Consider the following 21,068-nt stretch of genomic DNA (forward strand, 5'->3'; position numbering starts at 1 on the left):
GACCTAGGTGTTGACCATCAATAACAGAGACACATCAATCACAAGAGACAACCTGAAACATCATGTGCCTCTTAATGGAAGAACACAACACCAACTATTGAACTATCTTTCAAAAAAAAAAATCAAACTTGAATCTGATTGAGCTTCTAAACACCACAGAGAAGTTAGAGGAACATGTTTGTTTGTTTTTTGAGACGGAGTCTCGCTCTGTGGCCCAGGCTGGAATGCAGTGGGGCCATCTTGGCTCACCACAATCTCCGCCTCCTGGATTCAAGCAATTCTCTGGCCTCAGCCTCCCAAGTAGCTGGGATTACAGGTGTGCACCATCACGCCCAGCTAATTTTTATATTTTTAGTAGAGATGGGGTTTCACTGTGTTGGCCGGGCTGGTCTCAAACTCCCGACCTCAGGTGATCTGCCCACCTTGGCTTCCCAAAGTGCTGGGATTACAGGCATGAGCCACTACGCCCCGCCTAGAGGAACATGTTAACCACCACAATGGTGAGCCAATCAGCAAAATCAAACTCTGGAAAACACCATTAAGACAAACTACCTGGTTTTATCAAACAAATTGGAAAGAAAAAAAGAGCAAGAAATTGAAAAGGACACTATAGGTTAAAAGAGATTTAAAATGAAATTTTAAAAACAATTTGAAAAAAATCTATTCACTGTAGCATCAAGAAAGAAAGAAAGAAAGAAAAGAAAGCAAGAAAAAAAAAAGGAAAAGGAAAGAAAAGGAAAAGAAAAGCCTGTACACTGAAACTGGAAAATATGGCTTAGTTAACTAAAAAAATACCTAAATAAATGGAGAGGCATACGATATTCACAGACTAAAAGATCCAAAGATGCCAAAGGTAATTCAATGGAAATGGAAAAAGGATAGTATTTTCAACAAATGGTACAGAAACAACTGGATATCCACATGGACAAAAATGAACCTCAACCTTACCTCATACCATACATAAAAACTCAAAATGGACCATAAACCTAAATGTAAGAGCCAATATTTTTTAATATCCAGAAAAAGAAAATAGAAAATCTTTCTGAGCTTGGACTGGCAAAGAATTTTTATTTTTATTTTGAGGCAGGGTCTTGCTCTGTCGCCAAGTTTGGAATGCAATGGGCACGATCACTGCTCACTGCAGCCTTGACCTCCTGGGCTCAAATAATCCTCCCATTCTCAGCCTACCAAGTAGCTAGGACTACAGGCATATGCCACCATGCCTTGCTAACTTTGTTTATGTTTTGTAGAGAAGTGGTCGAAGTGGTCTCACTATGCTGCCAGGCTGGTCTCAAACTCCTAAACTCAAGTGATCCTTCTGCCTCAGCCTCCCAAAGTGCTGGGATTACAAGTGTGAGCTATTGCACCCAGCCTGGCAAATAACTTTAAAACATGACACCAGAAAAAGCACAAACAATAAATTGGGACTGTATCAAAGTTTAAAACGTTTGCTCTTCAGGCCAGGTGCCACCCCCCAGCTCACGCCTATAATCTTAGCACTTTGGGAGGCTGAGGCGGGTGGATCACCTCAGGTCAGGAGTTCGAGACCAGCCTGGCCAACATGGTGAAACCCCGTCTCTACTAAAAATACAAAAATTAGCCAGGACAGTGGTATGTGCCTGTAGTCCCAGTTACTTAGGAGGCTGAGGCAGAAGAATCACTTGAACCCGGGAGGCGGAGGTTGCAGTGAGCCAAGATCACACCACTACACTCTAGCCTGGGCAACAGGGTGAGACTCCATCTCAAAAAAAAACAAAACTTTTGCTCTTCAAAGACACAATGAAGAAAAAAGACAAGCCAGAGGCTTAAAAAGAAATTTTTTTGCAAAACATATACCTAATATGGATTTATATCAAAAAGCTCTTAAAAATAAACAATCCTTTTTTTTTTTTTTTTTTTTTTTGAGACAGGGTCTCCCTCTGGTCACTGGGCTGCAGTGCAGTAGCACCATCTTGGCTCACTGCAGCCTCAACCTCCTGGGTTCAAGTGATCCTCCTGCCTCAGACCTGCCAAGTAGCTGGGACTACAGGCGCACGCCACCACACCCAGCTAATTTTTGTATTTTTTTAGTAGAGACAGAGTTTCACCTATTACCCAGGCTGGTCTCGAGTTCCTGAGCTCAAGCGATCTGCCCACCTCAGCCTCCCAAATGCTAGGATTATAGGCATGAGGCACCACACCCGGACAATAATCCAATTTTTCAATCAAAAGATTTGAATAGGTACTTCAGCAAAGAAAATATATGAATGGCAAGCACATGAAAAGATAATTAGTCACTAGGGAAATACAAATTAAAACCACTATGAAGTATCATTACACACCAACTAAAATGGCTAAAATACGAACAATAGGAAATTTAATAAGGATGGAGAAGTGAGTCCTCATACAATGCTGGTGCAAATGTAAAAATGGTACAGCCACTTTGAAAATGGTTTGGCAATTTCTTAAAAAGCTAAACACAGGCCGGGCACGGTGGCTCACGCCTGTAATCCCAGCACTTTGGGAGGCAGAGATGGGCAGATCATGAGGTCAGGAGATTGAGACCATCCTGGCTAAAACGGTGAAACCCCATCTCTACTAAAAATACAAAAAATTAGCCGGGCGTAGTGGCGGTCGCCTGCAGTCCCAGCTACTCCGGAGGCTGAGGCAGAAGAATAGCTTGAACCTGGGAGGCGGAGCCTGCAGTGAGCCGAGATCGCACCACTGCACTCCAGCCTGGGCGACTGAGCGAGACTCAGTCTCAAAAAAAAACAAAAACAAAAACAAAAAAAAAGCTAAACATAGACTTATCATACAACCAAGCAATTCCACTCTTGAGGATCACCAAAAAGAAATGAAAACAGCCACACAAAGACTTTACTTGTGTTCACTGCCAAGAACTAGAAATAACCCAAATGTCCATCAACTAGTGAATGGATAAACAAAACGTTTTACCTATTTATACAATGGAATTATTCTCCCAGCACTTTGGGAGGCCGAGGGGGGCGGATCACGAGGTCAGGAGATCGGTACCATCCTGGCTAACACTGTGAAACCCGTCTCTACTAAAAACACAAAAAATTAGTCTGATGTGGTGGCAGGCACCTGTAGTCCCAGCTACTCGGGAGGCTGAGGCAGGAGAATGGCGTGAACCCAGAAGGCGGAGCTTGTAGTGAGCCGAGATCATGCCACTGCACTCCAGCCTGGGTGACAGAGCGAGAGTCCATCTCAAAAAAAAAAAGAAAAGGAATTATTCTCAGCAATAAAAACAAACTACTGATACATGCAATAACAAGGATAAATCTCAAAAACTTCATGCTATATGAAACATGCCAGACACAAAAGACTACATATTGGATGATTCTATTTATGTGAAATTTCTAGAAAAGGCAAAATTGTATAGAAAATACATCAGTGGTTTCCCAGAATCAGGATGCATTGTCTGTAAATGACCACATTTTGGGGGTAATAAAATGTTCTAAAACTAAATGGTGATGATGGTTGCATAACTCTATACAATTACTAAAATTCATCAAGTAGGTCACTTACAATATAAAACATGCTTCAATAAAACATTGTTTAAAAAAAGAGAGAAGATAACACAACGTGTTGGTCAATTGGATCCTTTAAACAATATTTTTTAAATTTATTTTTGTTATTGTAAAATACACATAAAATTTACCATTCTAATCACCTTAGATGTATAGTTCTGTGGCATTAAGGACATTCACAATGTTGTACAAGAAAATTTTTTAAATTACAGCATGTATAACAATGGGAACTGAGCTCTGCATAAATTCTAGTGTTCATAAGAAAAAATGTAGATCAGGTCGGGCACGGTGGCTCACGCCTGTAATCCCAGCACTTTGGGAGGCCAAGACGGGCAGATCACGAGGCCAACACGGAGAAACCCCGTCTCTACTAAAAATACAAAAAATTTGCCGGGCGTGGTGGCGGGCGCCTGTAGTCCCAGCTACTCCGGAGGCTGAGGCAGGAGAATGGCATGAACCCAGGAGGTGAAGCTTGCGGTGAGCCGAGATCGCGCCACTGCACTCTAGCCTGGGTGACAGAGAGAGACTCCGTCTCAAAAAAAAGAAAAGAAAAGAAAAAATGTAGATCAATAATATTATTTTGCTGACGCATTGGAGAAAGTAAAGGCTGGGTGCAGCTTCAAGCTGAGGACCACCCACCATGCCCCCATCATGGTGGTTCCCCTAGGTGCTGAAGGGCCCAGCCATAGCTCTCGCCCTCGCAGGGTCCCTCCAGGGTCTCTGCTGTTTCCTACCTAGGGGTGACTGCAGCCATGGCTAAGAAAGCGCCAGCGCCCACCCACCTGGGCCAATGGACTGGTTCTGCTCGTGCCACGCTGGTTCTGCTCCTCGCCATCTCGGCAGTTCAGAAAGAACCCCAACGAGCTTGTGATCTCCCGGGTCCTGTGGGCGTATCAACAGGGGGCCAGCCCTGTCCCTCAACCCTGGGGAGCTGGTGCTGCCGATCGACCTGACTGGCCCACAACGTCTTCAGCTACCACTGCAAGGGCCTGCGGGGTGACGGCTGTGCAGCGCTGCTCGCCTAGCTGTTGATCGCCTGGCTGTTGATGGGCTGGCACCCGCAGAGCTGCCCTGCCGGCCACCGACCACCATGGAGGGAGCATTCAGCTGGTGCGCGAGCTGGGTACTAAACTGGCTCTACTGTGAGCCGCCCTCGGCCCCTCCATCTCCTCTTACCCCTTGTCATCCATGCGTAAGCCGGGGACGCCCGAGGACATGCTCTTCACCCAAGGCCTGCGCCGGCGTCTGCTGATCAAGGGCCCAGTACAAAGGCCGTCATGGAGATCCAGGCCTTCGCCAACAGCGGCCTGTTCTGGTGCAAGGGCCAGCCGGGCAGCCCAAGGACCTCACGACTGGCTGCTGGGTCAAGGCGTTCCCGGGGTGAAGGTGGATAAGCAGACCACCAAGGGCTCCTGGAACCCTACGTGAAGGAGGCCAAGCACAGCCGTGGACACCGGCCTGAAGGCTGGGAAAGGAGCCGACGCCCCACCTCCTCTGACCAGGCCTGCGGGGAGGAGCCACCCACGCGCCACAGCAAGTCCTGGACCTGGCCCTGCATTCCAGGGTGGGGCAGGGAGGCTGGATTCTGAGAGAGCTGCTTCCGGATTGCGTTGGGGTAGTCAAGGAGCTCGGGACATCGCAGGGGAGGCAAAAAGCCTTGGCCAGTGCTCTTTTGGTGTATCCCTTCAGCTTCCAGAGGGGAAGCCACACCCTGATGCTATGTTCAAACGCTCCAGAAGACAGGAGTTCGTGTCCTTGCCCCTAACCACTGCTGTGGATGTCACTGGCCAAAGGTCATGAGGGGAGTGGGCCACATGAGTGGCCACTTGCCATGACTCCCTGAGCAGGGTGAGCCCCCACTCATCCTGTGCCATGTTATGTTTCCACCCAAGCAGCAGGGTAGGAGGCACAATGAGTGCCCATTCCTCTCCCTGATGGGCCCCCCAAGCTCTACAGACCAAGCAAGGAGACCCCATGACCCATGGCATGAAATCATCTTGAAGTTTTTGCTTTTTTTTTGGAGACAGAGTATCGCTCTGTCGCCCAGGCTGGAATGCAGTGGCACAATCTCGGCTCACTGCAACCTCTGCCTCCCGGGTTCAAGCAATTCTCCTGCCTCAGCCTCATGAGTAGTTGGGACTACAGGCATGTGCCACCACATCAGCCCGGCTAATTTTTTGTATTTTTAGTAGAGACAGGGTTTCACCGTGTTAGCCAGGATGGTCTTGATTTCCTGACCTCGTGATCCGCCCACCCCGGCCTCCCAAAGTGCTGGGATTACAGGCGTGAGCCACCGCACCCAGCCTACTCTTACATTTTTTTAGGTTTTTATTTACTCACTGCTTTAAGCATACACGACACTTCGGTTTTATTCCTCCCTTTGTAATGTTTTTTCTCTTAAGCCACTTTTTTTTTTTTTTGCAATGCCTTCCTCTTTGAAAGCATTAAAAAAACAGTATTTTGTTTATGTTTCAACAACAACAAAGAGGACTTAATGTCTGGCACACTAAAATATTTACCAATAAAACAAACTGATATTTGGAATTTTTTTAAGTTTTAAAAGTGTGGTCACTGTATTGTGATCACACAATTACATTAGGAAAATGTCTTATTCTTAGAGATGTACATTAAAGTATTAAGAGTACTGAGTTATAATGTCTGCAATAGAGCCTCAAATGTTTCACAGGGGACTATATAAATACATATATATGCCTATATATACATATATTACATATATACACATATATAAAAGACAAAGAGAGAAAGCAAACAGTGATTCTAGGTGAAAGACAAAGTGAGAACTCAGCAAAAACGTAAATTAGTACAGGTTTGTTGGAAAGCAATGTGATGACATCTCAAAATTGGAAGAAATTTACAAAAACTAAAACATGCCTAATGCATGTCCTTTGACCCAACACCCCTTCTAGGAATTTATCTTTAAAAAACTCACACAAGACCACAAAGCAAGAAAGGGTATTAATTACAAAAATTTTTTAATGGTTTAATACTCAAATATCTACCAATAGGTGGTTAGGTAAATAAGTTATTGCAAATGCTTAAAATGAAAAAAAATATATGAAAAGAAGAAAGGGGTGTGGGTACAGATGAAACCGCATTGGCTGTGAGTTTATTACAGAAGCAATCTTTGAATAATGGATATTTGGATGTTCATCTCACTGTTTAGTCTACTTTTATATATGTTTGACATTCTCCCTAACAAGTCAAAAACAAAAAAGAACCACACAAAATTCCAAGGGCACAATTCTTTACAAGTGGTCATCGACCCCCTTTCTTTCCCAAATTAATAATATCAACATGGGAGGGAAGGTTCTACACTACATAAACAAGTACACATAAATATTAAAGTTCTTTCAGCCTGGGCAACATAGTGAGACCCTGTCTCTTAAAAAAAGATTTTCTTTTAGTTAGCTAGGTGTGGTGATTCACATCTGCAGTCCTAGCTACTAGAGAGACTGAGACAGAAGGACTGCTTGAGCTCAGGAGTTCAAGGCTGCAGTGAGCCATGATCGTGTGTCACTTTAGCTTGCATGACAGAGTGAGACTCCAACTCTTCAAAAAAGAAAAAGTTCCATCACTCTTAATTATTCTTACATCCTCAGGTCATCCCTGAACAGAAGAGTTTTGCTTTCAAGCATCTTGGATCCAGTAGTAAGTAGATGGCAGCTCACATTTACTGTGCTCCCACCAGCAAGCAGCTCTTCATTTCTAATAGCTCTAGCTAAGGAAAGAAACAAGTGTAGAAAAAGCCAGGCACAGTGGCCGCGCCTGTAAATTTTAGCACTTTAGAAGGCCAAACAAAGCAGGAGGACCACTTGAGCCCAGGAGTTTGAGACCAGCCTGGACAACATAGGGAAATGGGAGATCCTATCTCTACCAAAAAAAAAAAAAATTGTAAAAAATTTGCCAGGCATGGTGGCTCATGACTGTGGTCCCAACTACCTGGGAGGCTGAGGCTGGAGGATATGTAGGCCCAGGAGGTCAAGGCTGCAGTGAGCACTGATCCTGCCACCGCATTCCGGCCTGGGCAACAGAGCAAGACCCAGTCTCTCACACACACACACACACACACACACACACACACACACACACACACACATAAATGAAAGATTACTGCCTGTTTTGAACTTTGTTTTCTATGGAGTTGTTCAGCTTTTCCTATTAGAAGTTCAAATATGTGTACTACATATTGTGCCATTTCTGAATTATAACAAAAGCAAGAGAGCTTAGAAATCATCCAGCCCAGTTGGCCGCAGTGGCTCACGCCTGTAATCCCAGCACTTTGGGAGGCCGAGGCAGGTGGATCACGGGGTTAGGAGATCGAGACCATCCTGGCTAACACGGCGAAACCTGTCTCTACTAAAAATACAAAAAATTAGCCGGGCGTGGTGGCGGGCACCTGTAGTCCCAGCTACTTGGGAGGCTGAGGCAGGAGAATGGCGTGAACCCGGGAGGCGAAGCTTGCAGTGAGCCAAGATCGCACCACTGCACTCCAGCCTGGGTGACAGAGCGAGACTCCGTCTCAATAAAAAAAAAAAAAAAAAAAGAAATCACCCAGCCCAGTATCTTGAATTAACAAATAAGCAAAACTATCCAGGCCCAAAGTTATTATTTCAAATTATAATAACTTCAGTATTCTCTAGTTAGGAGGTATTCTCCTCAGTTTAATTTGAATAAACTAAGTGCTCACTGAACACCTGCCACAGTGAACTGTAATGAATAACGAGCAAAAGTTGGAAGTCTGTCTTGAGGGTGCTAAACTCACAGTCCAAGGCCACTGACTACCATCCAAAACCCTACAGTCATTGGGCTCAAGAGCCCACAAACTCAACACCTGCTCAGCACCAGCCTGCTTAAACTTGAAGCAGGAATTTTCAAAACAGCCTCCTCTTTCTTTCAGCAAGTCATATGATATTCATTAACTTTCAAAGCAATGAGAAAATATAATGTAAGTTAAAATTAACCAAGACTGATAGTTACATGAAGATGTCTAGTTATTGGGTGTTTTCCCCCGCTCTCTGGTCCTGGCTGAGGCAAGCGGATCACTTGAAGTCAGGAATTTGAGGGTAAAACCCTGTCACTACTCAAAATATAAAAATTAGCCAGGTATGGTAGCACATGCTTGTAATCCCAGCTACCTGGGAGGCTGAGGCAGGAGGAACACTTGAACCCAGGAGGCAGAGGCTGCAGTGAGCTTAGATAGTGTCACTGCACTCCAGCCTGGGTGACAGAGTGGGACTCCATCACAAAAAAAAAAAAAAAAAAAAAAAAGATGGTGTTTAAATTTTTATTCCAGGAACAGGGTTATTCTTTTTATATTCCAATTTCAAAAGAAAAACTCTCTATATGTTCTGCATCAAGCTAATACCACAATTAAAACGTATTCTTCACATGATAGAGAATTTAAAATAATGATGACACAACTAGATACTTGATAATATTAAGGAATTATTCATTTTACATGTGATAAACGTATTACGGCTTAAAAAGTCATCATTTTAGAGATACTGAATTATTTATGAAATAATACTTGAGATTTGCTATAAAACAGTGCAATGAGGGACGCAAAATTGTGAACGTGCATGAGAGCAAAGTATAGATAAAACAAGTGGGCCACGTGTTGATAATTGTGGGAACCAAGTAACATGATATTCTCTCCGTTTTTCCGTATGCTCAAATACCTCCATGATAAAAAGTAAGCCAAAAAATAAAATTATAGTAACAAATCAGCCTTCTCAGAGGGCATACCACAGAAGCAGTAGCATCATAATTAGTTGTTGTAAACACAGGTATTAAAGAGCACACAGTGACTGACAGCATTATATTCATGGATGCTGCTACCCTGCTGAAGAAACTGCTGCATTTGTCAGTACCATAGAAAGGTCAAAAAAAAAAAAAAAAGAAAAGAAACTGCTGTATTTCAGCAGCGTGAGAGGTGATTCCCATGACTAATATCCAAAATTACATGACATTACATCCAAAATACATTTTATATCTTAGAAATCTTTCTGAGAAATCAACAATACTTAACAAGTATGGAATGACTATAAGATCATCACCATTAGCTAGATATTTCCAATTCCTAACCATTCTTTTCCTCAACAACCTACTCCTTCAACGAGTGCTGAAGAGAGAAACAATGGTCACTGGAAATTCATCTTTTAAAGTTATAGATATGAGGTTTTAACTCAAAAAGAAGGAATTTCATCAAGTATTAGATCATATTCAGCTACTGAAACAAATTCATATTTCCTCGTTTCATGTTCTCAAGGCACAAAATACTTTACCTTCATGGTACTCAGGAGCATTTCCTTCCTTCCTTCCTTCTTCCCTTCCTTCCTCCCTCCCTCCCTCCCTTCCTCCTTCCCTTCTTTCTTCTTTCTCTCTCTCTCTCTCTCTCTCCTCCTCTCTTTCTTTTAGATGGAGTCTCGCTCTGTCGCCAGGCTGGAGTGCAGTGGCGTGATCTCAGCTCACTGAAAGCTCTACCTCCTGGGTTCAAGCGATTCTCCTGCCTCAGCCTCCCAAGTAGCTGGAACTACAGGCATGTGCTACCATGCCCAGTTAATTTTTGAATTTTTAGTAGAGAAGGGGTTTCACCATGTTGGCCAGGATGGTCTTGATTCTCTTGACCTTGTGATCCCCCTGCCTCGGCCTCCCAGAGTGCTGGGATTACAGGTGTGAGCCACCACGCCTGGCCATTCTTTCTTTTTTAAAGCAAGAATTTCATTTAATGACCTAGGTGGCTTTATTCTGATTTTCACTTTTAATTATGGTAGACAACCAAATGATAGATCTCTGAAATTTTGAGACACAACTTCTTGTGTACAAAGAGAAATGCAGGGTTCTCCATCTTAAGCCCCTAAAGCCTTCAGGAGCCTTCATTCACCTGTGTAACATAGGGCCTCCACCTTGATGCCAGCCAACACACACATGTGCTAAGCTGAAGCAGCCATCCCTGGAACCGGAAAGAATGAGAAGGGAACACAACTGTCTCAAGTTTGAGGCTTCCTTCTTGACAACAATATTCACAGTACAAAAGTACTGTGCTTAGAGGAGACGTAAGTCAGATAAGCTGTAACTTTTCACAAAATGCACAATTAGTATAAAGTTTAATAATTTTTTTTCTTCCAGTGTAAATTCAGTTTGTTTACTGCTTTGTAGTTTTGAAAAGTCAGGAGTTCTTTTTAAATTCTTGGGAGCTGGTCTGAATGTAGTCAGGTCACTTTTCTTATCAAACAGCAAAAACTTATTCGAGATTACATAAAAATGGGAAATATAAACACATGTTACATACAGTCCGTACACTTTGAGAGCATGTCATGCCAGTTGGAAAAACCTAACAGCAACTTACAATGGTAAATGATGACTACCAAATGCTCTGAATAGGCTGTACGCATGATGGGAGTAAAGTGAAGAGGGGGTTTAAGCCATGTGGGTTTTTTTGTTTGTTTAAGAGACAGGATCTCACTCTGTCACCCAGGCCGAAGTGCAGTGGTACAATCATAGCTCACTACAGCCTTAAACTCCTGGGCCCAAATGATCCTCCTACCTTATCCTGCCATACGGTAGCTAGGACTACAGGTGCATGCCAGCACATCCTGCTAATTGTTATTGTAGAAACAGGATTGGGTCTCACTGTGTTGCCCAGGCTGGTCTCAAACTCCTGGCCTCAAATGATCCTCCCACCTTGGCCTTCCGAAGTGTTGGGATTACAGGCAGGAGCCACAGAGCCCAGCTGGGATTTAATTTTGAAAAACAGAGGAGAGGAAGAGAATTCCAGGCAGGAGGATAAAAGCAAAAACATAGAGATGACAACACACAACATGTGTTTCAGGCACAGTGACTAGACCAATTTGGCTGGGGTACTTTTTCTCCTTTGTTGTCATCTTTATTTTTCTACCTGGGATGTAAACGATGTGAATATGGGTCAGAAAAATCAGCTGCACAGAAACACCTCAGCCAATTGTAAGACAGAGAGAGGGTGGACATGCATGAAGGGGCAGTAGCAATTCCAGACCAGCCTTCTGAAAGAGCCTGTGGTCCAAGCCGGCAACCAGAAGGGCACTCTGGGTGGGGCAGGCAGGACCATGCAATGCAGGTTCTTGGGAGGAAGGATGAGGAGGAGCAGTCACAGCAGATGCTGTGGCTGAGCTCCAACAAGTTTATTGGACTCTGCCTTCAAGCTGCTGCCTGAAGAAGTTGATTAGCCCATTGGCGGAAGCATAGTGAGAGGTCACTTCAAGGCAAGCAACAAGAAAAGACTAGAAAGCTAGGTTGGAGTTAGCCTGGAGGCCTTATATACCAAGAGTTTGAATTTCAGACTGAAGGCTTCTGAATGGGATTAAAATGACAGGAAAGTAAGCAGCAGTGCACATATACAGAGATCAGAGACTGATGTTCAGGACGGAATGGGGAGGAAGAGCCTGGAGGTTAGTTCTCAGGGGATGTTTACTTTAGCAATCATAAAGAGTCCAGGCCTGGCGCGGTGGCTCACGCCTGTAATCCCAGCACTTTCGGAGGCCAAGGTGGGCAGATCACGAGGTCAGGAGCTCAAGACCAGCCTGACCATCATGGTGAAACCCCGTCTCTACTAAAAATAGAAAAATCAGCCGGGCGTGTTGGCACGTGCCTGTAACCCCAGCTACTCAGGAGGCTAAAGCAGGAAAATCACTTGAACCCGGGAGACAGAGGTTGTAGTGAGCCGAGATCCTGCCACTGTACTCCAGCCTGGGCGACAGAGCAAAACTCCGTCTCAAAAAAAAAAAAAGTATACAGGAGGATGTGTGTAGATTATATCCAAATATTACGTCATTTTATATAAGGGTCTTGAGCATCTATGAATTTTGGATATGGAGGGGTCCTGGAACCAATCCCCTGCAAACACCAAGGGAAGACTGTACTTCATTTATGTAAGCTTCCACAGTTTACAAAGGACTTTTGCTTACATAATCTCATTTTACCTTCAGAACAATTTGTAAAGTAGAACATTTGCTATATTTCACAAGTGAGGAATTGCTGCTCCGGGCAGTTCCTTTTATGACCACCATTCCATGTTTCATTTTATGGCTCTGTCTCTCAACCAGTAGACTGTAAGCTCCATGAGGGTATGCAGGGACCACACTGAATTTTGTTTGCCTTTGTAGCCCTGGCTGCCTCATGAAGAGCCCTGGTCCCTGATCCCAGCAGACACATGCTCACTAAATATGTGACAGATGGGTGAGGAGCACATCCCCTCTCCCACTCTTGTTTCAATGATACTAAAATGCTTTATCAATCAAAAGTGTTTGGGGGCTTTTTGTGTTTGTTTTAAATTATTGTTCTGACAATTAAAAGGCTTTGACAATTTTAATACCTCTACTTAGCACTTTCTAAACAAGACCTCTTTTCCCCCGCTAGGTAGGAAAAAGGAAAAATATACAAAAAAGGAATATCAGGCTGCCTGCCACCTTCACCGTTGTATCAAAAAGTCACTCTAAGTGATATATTAGACTAAGGACCAAAAAAAGGTCAATATTTGCTAATTATTTTTTCAAATATCTTCTATTTCTTTGCAGAATGGAATGTATGCTGAAACAAATAACCACACATATGAGTACCTACAGTGCCAGAGTTGAGAAATTCTGGCCTAGAACACTTGTGCCAGAAAACAAGAAAATGCTCCAAGAATAATGGAGACATGTCAAAAGGACAAAGCAGCAGCTTGAAGGGCCTCCCACTGGCCAAGTCTGAGACAATTTAAGCATCAATACAAATAATAAAAGATTATAGCTCATTGATTAAAATAAAAAACATGAGTTCATATTGATATAAATTAATAAATCAATAAATTGAAAATGTGATGAAGAATGAGATAGTTAACATAATTTGGAAGTACTTATCCATAAAATACCAATTACAAATGGAAGAATAATTTAGCAGTAGAAAAATGCAAAAAATTGAAATTGTATGTCACCTACTAGGAGGCAATGAGACATAACATCATTTCTGCCATATTTCTGCCAAAGATACGCAACCTGAGTTTAATCATGAGAAAACATGAGACAAACCCAAATTGAAGGACAGGCTACAAAATAACTGGCTTATAATTTCCAACCCATCAAGACCATGAAAGTCAAAAGAAGGCTGAGAAAGACTTGGCAACTAAAAGCAAAGCATGTGAATCTGAACTGAATCCTTTTGCTTGCCCCACCCCCGCAAAAAAAAAAAAAGGCGGTGGGGAAAGGAGCTGGAAGGTCTTTATTGGGACTATTGGTCAAACTTGAATGGGGAATGGGGGGGTGTGAGGAGTATTTGATGGTAATATAATGTGTCAATGTTAATTTCCTGCTTTTGATGGTTATGTTGTACTTATGTAGAAGAATGTCCTTACCATTGGAAACATACACACACTAGGGTAATTCCAGAGTGATGGAGCATCAGGCGGACAACTCCAACGGTTCTGGAGAAGAAAACAAGTTTTCTCTACTGTACTTGTAACTATTCTGTTTTGGGCTGTTTCAAAAGTTTTCAAAAACATTTTAAATGATTAGTATCTCTCCAAAATGAAAGTAATGGATACAATCTTAATACATACACACAAATTCTTTCCAACAAGAATGTTCTCTTTGTAAAAGTACTAAATAAGTCTTCCATTTGGTCACTAGGGAAGTAGTATAAAATAGTGTTGCATAACAAAAAAGAAAAACCAGGCTTTCCATGTAGTAACACTGACTTCAAGCTCCAGTTCATCACATACAAATTTCATGACCCTAGGTAGACTTTTTTTTTTTTTTTTGAGATAGAGTCTCGCTCTGTCACCCAGGCTGGAGTGCAGTGGCGCGATCTAAGCTCACTGCAAGCTCCGCCTCCCAGGTTTACTTACACCATTCTCCTGCCTCAGCCTCCCGAGTAGCTGGGACTACAAGGCACCCGCCACCACGCCCGGCTAATTTTTTGTATTTTTAGTAGAGACGGGGTTTCACCGTGTTAGCCAGGATGGTCTCCATCTCCTGACCTCATGATGTGCCCACCTCGGCCTCCCAAAGTGCTGGGATTACAGGCGTGAGCCACCGTGCCCGGCCGGAAGATTTTGTTTACCCTTCTGGGTCTTGATATCCTACTCTGTAAAGTGAGAATACCAGCCAGGCATGGTGGCTCATGCCTGTAATCCCAACTACTCGGGAGGCTTGAGGTGGGAGGATCACTTGAGCCCAGGAGTTGGAGATCAATCTGGGCAACATAGCAAGACCCTGTGTCTATAACAAGGAAGAAAATGAAAAAAGAAAAAACAGGAAGTGAGAATACCACTTTTGGCTGGGCACGGTGGCTTATGCCTGTAATCCCGGCACTTTGGGAGGCTGAGGTGGGCAGATCACTTAAGGTCGGGAGTTCAAGACCAGCCAGGCCAACATGGTAAAACCCCGTCTGTACTAAAAATAAAAAATTAGCCCAGTGCATGGTGACATATGCCTGTAATCTCAGCTACTCGGGAGGCTGAGGCAGGAGAATTGCTTGAACCCGGGAGGCAGAGATTGCAGTGAGCCGAGATCACGCCACTGCACTCCAGAGACTCCATCTCAAAAAATAAATAAATAAATAAAAGAATCCCTCACTTTGAACAACAAAAGTTGTTAATCTGCTGAGAATACAGGAGAATACAAGGGTGGGAGGAAATCTGGTGCTAGATAATACAATCCTTCACTCTTTCAGTAAGTTTGGTTTTTAAACACATGAATCACTTATTCATTCAACAAATATTTACAGTTGACCCTTGAACAACACAGGCGTCAGGATTACCAACTGCCCTCACAGGAAAAAATCTGCATGTAACTTCTGACTCCCCAAAACTTTACTAATAGCCTACAGCTGACCAGAAGCCTTACTGATAACATAAACCGTGGATTAACATGTTTTGTATATGTATTATACACTGTATTCTTACAATAAAATAAACTAGAGAAAACAAAATATTAGAAAAATTATAAGGAAGAGAAAATATATTTACTATTCACTAAGTGGAATGGATTATCATAAAGGTTTTCATCCTCACGGTCTTCACACTGAGTAGGCTGAAAAGGAAGAGGATGGGTTGGTCTTGCTGTCTCAGGGGTTGCAGAGGCAGAAGAAAATCCACATAAAGTGGACCCATGTGATTTGCCCTGTGCTGTTCAAGGTCAACTATATTTGGTTTCTATACTATGCTCTACTATGTAGCAGCTACAGAGATTTAAAACATGATCCCTTTGCCTCAAGCCAATAGGAAACAAGCTAAAAGCAAGCAATCATAATGAAAAGGAAGGATGTTTTAAGTAGTAAAGGAGAAAGAAAAAAGAAACTCAAATGGATTCTCTCATTCTCAACAAACAAGCAAGTGAAACTTCTTTGGGTAAAGAGAGAACAACCAGAAAGCTATTCTGGCTCTTCAGTGCTCCTACTGCAAGGAGTGCAAGGGGGTGTGGTGCAGGAAGCCTGAGCTACCTATCCCAGGGGAGGACAAAGGGAGACAAAGGCATCAAGAGAGAGCAGCTGGGCAGTGACCGAACATGGCTGCCAGGCCAGGGGAAAGTAGCACATGGGTCCTGACTGAACCCTCTGTGGGGCTGGTAAGCCCTTTCTAGTCCAGAGATGCTTTTGGGAGGAGGAGGTGAGTGGCAGAAAGAAAATTATACAAGAAATTTTCTTAATGTTCTTTACACAATATACATGGGGAAAATGCACAAGGGGGTAATTGTGGAGCCATGTTTCAAAGTAAGATGACATTCACTTAATTTGTACAACCAGAATACAGTGTGTTTTTCTGTAATGATGTTATTTATAGCCTAGTACTTGTTTGACAGTACCTGACTGAGAAAGTGACAAACATCTCTGTATATATAGAACTTAACTTATAAAACATGTTTAAATAAGGTAATTTGCCCAAAGCTTCTCCATTGAATTTTAATTCCACAATATTTGTTATACCATATCAACAAAATGACACCAGATAAAAAAGACCACTAAGCTCAGAAACATCTATTTGGTATCTGTATCTTCGGAACTGTCTTCCACTCAGTATTTACCAACACAGTTAAAAACCAGCATATTTACAATGCTTCTTTACCAGCCTGCTAGCAACTTGTCTCTATCTACTACTGAGCACCTCCTTTGTTCTTGGTACTTCCCAGGGGATGATGGGGTGGCCCAATAGGAAGCTCAGTCTTGCCCTAAAGGATTTTACAGTTACAGATAGAATCACTAGAGAAATTTCTGAAATGCAAGGCTTTTCAAAATTAGCTGCCAAAAAAGGGAGAGTTAACTGTGGGTCAAAATAGCTGCAAACAGCTTTACCAAAAGAAAGGCATAAATTTCATCTTCAAGGACAGACAGAATCTTGGAAAGGTAGAGGAAAGGGTGGAAGGCATTCCCAGCAGGCCAAGCAGCATGCAAAGGGTACCAAGGCTGGCATCAGGCTGGCATCAGGTCGGCAAGGGGCAGGGTGGAAAGTATGCTCGTGTGTAAGGTGGCAGGAGGGATCAATCTGCTGGCATAGATAACGAGGCCCCACAGAAGAGTACATATAATACATAAAAGTTCTATAGTACACAAACAGCACCAAACAGGAAAGACTTGAGGAGTGCTACATTTTATAGCTGCCAAGTGACATATACTCAGTTAAAGGGCAGTTAGGACCAGCAGCAGACCAGCAGGAAGGTGTTGGACTAGCCCAGAGATCAAAGGCTGTGGGCTTAAAGCAGAGAAGCGGCCATCAGAATGGTGTCAAAGGATTGAGCCTAAGAGACATTTCAAAGTAGGAAATGACAGAAAAATCAAAGATGACTCCAAATTCTAGCATGTGAAAAGGAAAATAAATACTGGTGCCACTGAAAATACTGGGATAGTAGTTAAGAAGAACTGAGGTTTGGGAGTGAGGGAGGTGTAAAAGACTGGTGTGTTCACCATGACTAGTGAACTCTGTGGTAATGAGAGTGGCCACCCAAGTGAAGAAGTCCTGGAATCAGCTACAAACCAGGCTGTTGTCAGATGACAAAGTAGAAGAAAGGTTGGATTGTAGGTTTGCAAGTCAACTGGCATGCTGAAGGTAACTACTAATCAGAAAATCTCACGGAGAAATGAACAGAGAATGAAGGAGAGACCACAAAAAAAGAGAGGTAGGAACTAACACTTTTTAAGTATCTATGTGCCAGCCACTACATGAGCCACTTTGTATAAATTAAATACAGAAAAAATTGAGAGGTAGGAAACCTAGAAAGTTTCCTCTCACAAAGAGGAGTGCACCAATGACAAAGCCAAACATGAAAGGAAATTCAAGAGAATAAAGGCTGAGAAAAGAAAGGACACTGGCCTTGCCACTACAAAGGTTACTGGCACCCTCTGGGAGAGATTTCCAGTTGTGTGGTGGAAGCCGAGGCTACGATGTGGGTGGCTGAGAAGAGAAGGACAGATACAAACTGAAGGCCGTGAATAAGAAGTAGGCATTTAAGTCGCTGCGCAGCAAATGGACAAGATTCAATGGCTGCTAAAAAGGACAGAAGTGCCTTGCAGTGAGTGCTCTTTTTTTTTTTTTTCCCGAGACGGAGTCTCGCTCTGTCGCCCAGGCTGGAGTGCAGTGGCGCGATCTCAGCTCACTGCAAGCTCCGCCTCCCGGATTCACGCCATTCTCCTGCCTCAGCCTCCCGAGTAGCTGGGACTACAGGCGCCCGCCACCACGCCCGGCTAATTTTTTGTATTTTTAGTAGAGGCGGGGTTTCACTGTGTTAGCCAGGATGGTCTCGATCTCCTGACCTCATGATCCGCCCGCCTCTGCCTCCCAAAGTGCTGGGATTACAGGCGTGAGCCACCGCGCCCGGCCGAGTGCTCTTAATCCTTTGCTTATTTTAGTAATAGGAAAACACTGGCCAACAAACCCAAAAGTCAAAGGTTAGGGCCTACATATCATATGATTCAAGGTAATGCAATTATGGGAAAATGGAAGACACAATTTAGTTTTTGCAGGCTAAATTTCCATCACCAGCAAATCTAGTTCAGCTATAAATATAACAAATTAACATACACTGATTGGAGCATATTTCACCTGCTTTATAGTTGAAAAGCTAACATCTCTCAAAACTCAATGCTAAAGAGACTAATAACAAAAATACAAAAAAACCCATAAAAAATTATAAATATTTTATACTACCTTTCCCAAACCGTAAACCATATTTTGAAAAAGCATCTAAAAGACCAATCACAATCATCTGAAAATCTGCTTTAGGAATTGTGGAGCTACTGGATTTGATTATAATGTTGGCAAAAACACTTGCTGCTTCAATGGAAAATATTTTCATCAATATTTCCAGTGATGGGCTCTAAGTTGAGATAGTACAATTCATTCATGAAACTTGCTAAGTTACAATTTATGCACTAGTTTCTACTCAAAATGGTAAGGGTAATCATTCTTCAATCTTTCACCTAAAGAGTAAAACTCTTCTAGGTGGACAACAGGGAACAGGTAAACTTAGAATTGCCAAAGAATATTACGTCTTGAGTATAACTCTTAGTGGTATTGTATGGCTAAGTTGTTCAAAACAGACCAGAGGTGAGTTTCTGCTAAATTCACTTTTCTATCCACTGCTAGCTGGAATCAACTTTTTTCACATTCTAGGAAATGATTACTATATTTGCTCTTGCCAAAATGCTCTCACCATTTTGTTACTATTAGATAATAATCCATTAATAGTAAATTTAATTACTTCAAGAAGGAACACAGTTTATTTATAAAGAATCTTTTTTTTTTTTTTTTTTTTTTTTTTTTTTTGAGATGGAGTCTTGCTCTGTCACCCAGGCCGGAGTGCAATGGCGCAATCTCAGCTCACTGCAACCTCCGCCTCCTGGGTTCAAGCGATTCTCCTGTCTCAGCCTCCCAAGTAGCTAGGATTACAGGCGCCCACCACCACACCCAGCTAATTTTTGTATTTTTAGTAGAGATGGGGTTTCACCATGTTGGTCAGGCTGGTCTCGATCTCCTGATCCCAGGTAATCCGCCCATCTCAGCCTCCCAAAGTGCTGGGATTACAGGTGTGAGCCACTGCTCCCGGCCAAGAATCATTTTATTTAAATAAACTGCCTTGCAGTCAGGGAGGAAGAGAGCTGACACTTAGTGCTTACCGCACTAGGCACCATGTGATATGATACCTCTTCCATCCCACCACCATTTGAAATATTCCCATTTTAAAGGTCAGGAAATAAGAGACTCAAAGAAGTTATTTAACTTATCAAATATCACACAACTAGTAAATGACAGCCAAATCCATAACCTAAGTTATTCTGCCAACACACCGAGCTGCCTGCCATTCAAAAATAAAATATTTACATGTAAGGCTTTTTCCAAAATGGATTTCCTCATCTTCTATCATTTCTTCTTAGGCATTTCACTGAATGTCCTAAAGCCTCAATTCAGGAAAGAATTGAGATCACTTCTTAGAAAGTTTTTAGGTGAGGCGCAGCGGCTCATGCCTGTAATGCCAGCACTTTGGGAGGCTGAGGCAGGAGAATCGCTTGAGCCCAGGAGGTCAAGTTTACAGTGAGCCGTGATCACACCACTGCACTCCCGCCTGGGTGACAGAGTGAGAGACCCTGTATTTAAAAAAAACAAAACAAAACAAAACAAAACAAAACAAAACAAAACAAAACAGTTTCTAGAACCACCACCCAATGAATCAACTAACAAGAAGAAACCTATCTGAGAGCTTTTACTGATAACAGATCTTCATAAAAAGCTCTGGAGACCAACAGTAGTACATCTAGTCTACCTTATAAACTGTACAACTATTTTTACAATATTCTTTATTTTCGCAACACAAAATCAGGTGTCACAGTCTCTGACAGGGGTGAGTCCTAGGCTCTCTTGGGACTAGACTCTAAAGGACAGGCCCTCAGTGTGTGATGGAGTGAGTGAATGAATAAAGACACAGCCAGCATAAATGTTAATACAGCAGAGAGAAACTATGAATCTGGAGGACCCCCAAAATGAAAGCATAAAGCAACCTCCCTCAACAAATGTCATTTAAAAAGCCAGAATCATGTTTGAGTTATATAAAAAGTAATAGGACCGGGAGCAGTGGCTCATGCCTGTAATCCCAGCACTTTGGGAGGCTGGCACAGCAGATCGCTTGAGCCCAGGAGTGGGAGGCCAGCCTGGGTAACATGGTGAAACCTCGTCTCTACAAAACTTAGCTGGGCATGGTGGTGTACGCCTGTAGTCACAGCTACTGAGGAGGCTGAGTGGAAGGATCATTTGAACTCAGGAGGCAGAGGTTGCAGTGAGCCAAGATCATGCCACTGCACTCCAGCCTGGGTGACAGGTGAGAGAGACCCTGTCCCAAGGAAAAAAAAAAAAAATCATTGTATTTTAATTGGCAATACCCCAATTAAAGCTACAAGAATGGTTATCATAAAAAAAAAATAGAGAATAACAAGTGCTGTCAAGGATGTGGAGAAACCAGAAGGTAAAATGGTATAGGCAATTTGAAAAAACAGTTTGGCAGTTCTTCAAAAAGTTAAACA

General features: G+C 42.8%; 1 protein-coding gene across 1 annotated transcript in view, besides 2 other annotated features; it reads right to left on the reverse strand.

The window, feature by feature from the left end:
* The window catches only part of SFMBT1 (Scm like with four mbt domains 1), a 142,502-nt gene that overhangs the window by 90,755 nt on the left and 30,679 nt on the right, over window positions 1-21,068 (reverse strand). The gene's annotated exons all lie outside the window — the stretch shown is intronic.
* Window positions 4,198-4,698: an enhancer, noted in NCBI's record as "H3K27ac hESC enhancer chr3:53032540-53033040 (GRCh37/hg19 assembly coordinates)". NCBI's record gives its function as "activates a minimal SCP1, AML or CMV promoter by ChIP-STARR-seq in primed H9 embryonic stem cells {active_cell/tissue: H9 hESC(primed)}" and the evidence as "EXISTENCE:reporter gene assay evidence [ECO:0000049][PMID:30033119]".
* Window positions 5,581-5,824: a silencer, noted in NCBI's record as "fragment chr3:53033923-53034166 (GRCh37/hg19 assembly coordinates)". NCBI's record gives its function as "represses an EF-1alpha promoter that drives an FKBP-Casp9 reporter gene in an ReSE screen in phorbol 12-myristate 13-acetate-treated (for megakaryocytic differentiation) K562 erythroleukemia cells {active_cell/tissue: K562(+PMA)}" and the evidence as "EXISTENCE:reporter gene assay evidence [ECO:0000049][PMID:32094911]".

Source organism: Homo sapiens, chromosome 3 (assembly GCF_000001405.40).
Source record: "Homo sapiens chromosome 3, GRCh38.p14 Primary Assembly".
In the NCBI taxonomy this organism is placed as follows: Eukaryota; Metazoa; Chordata; class Mammalia; order Primates; family Hominidae; genus Homo; species Homo sapiens.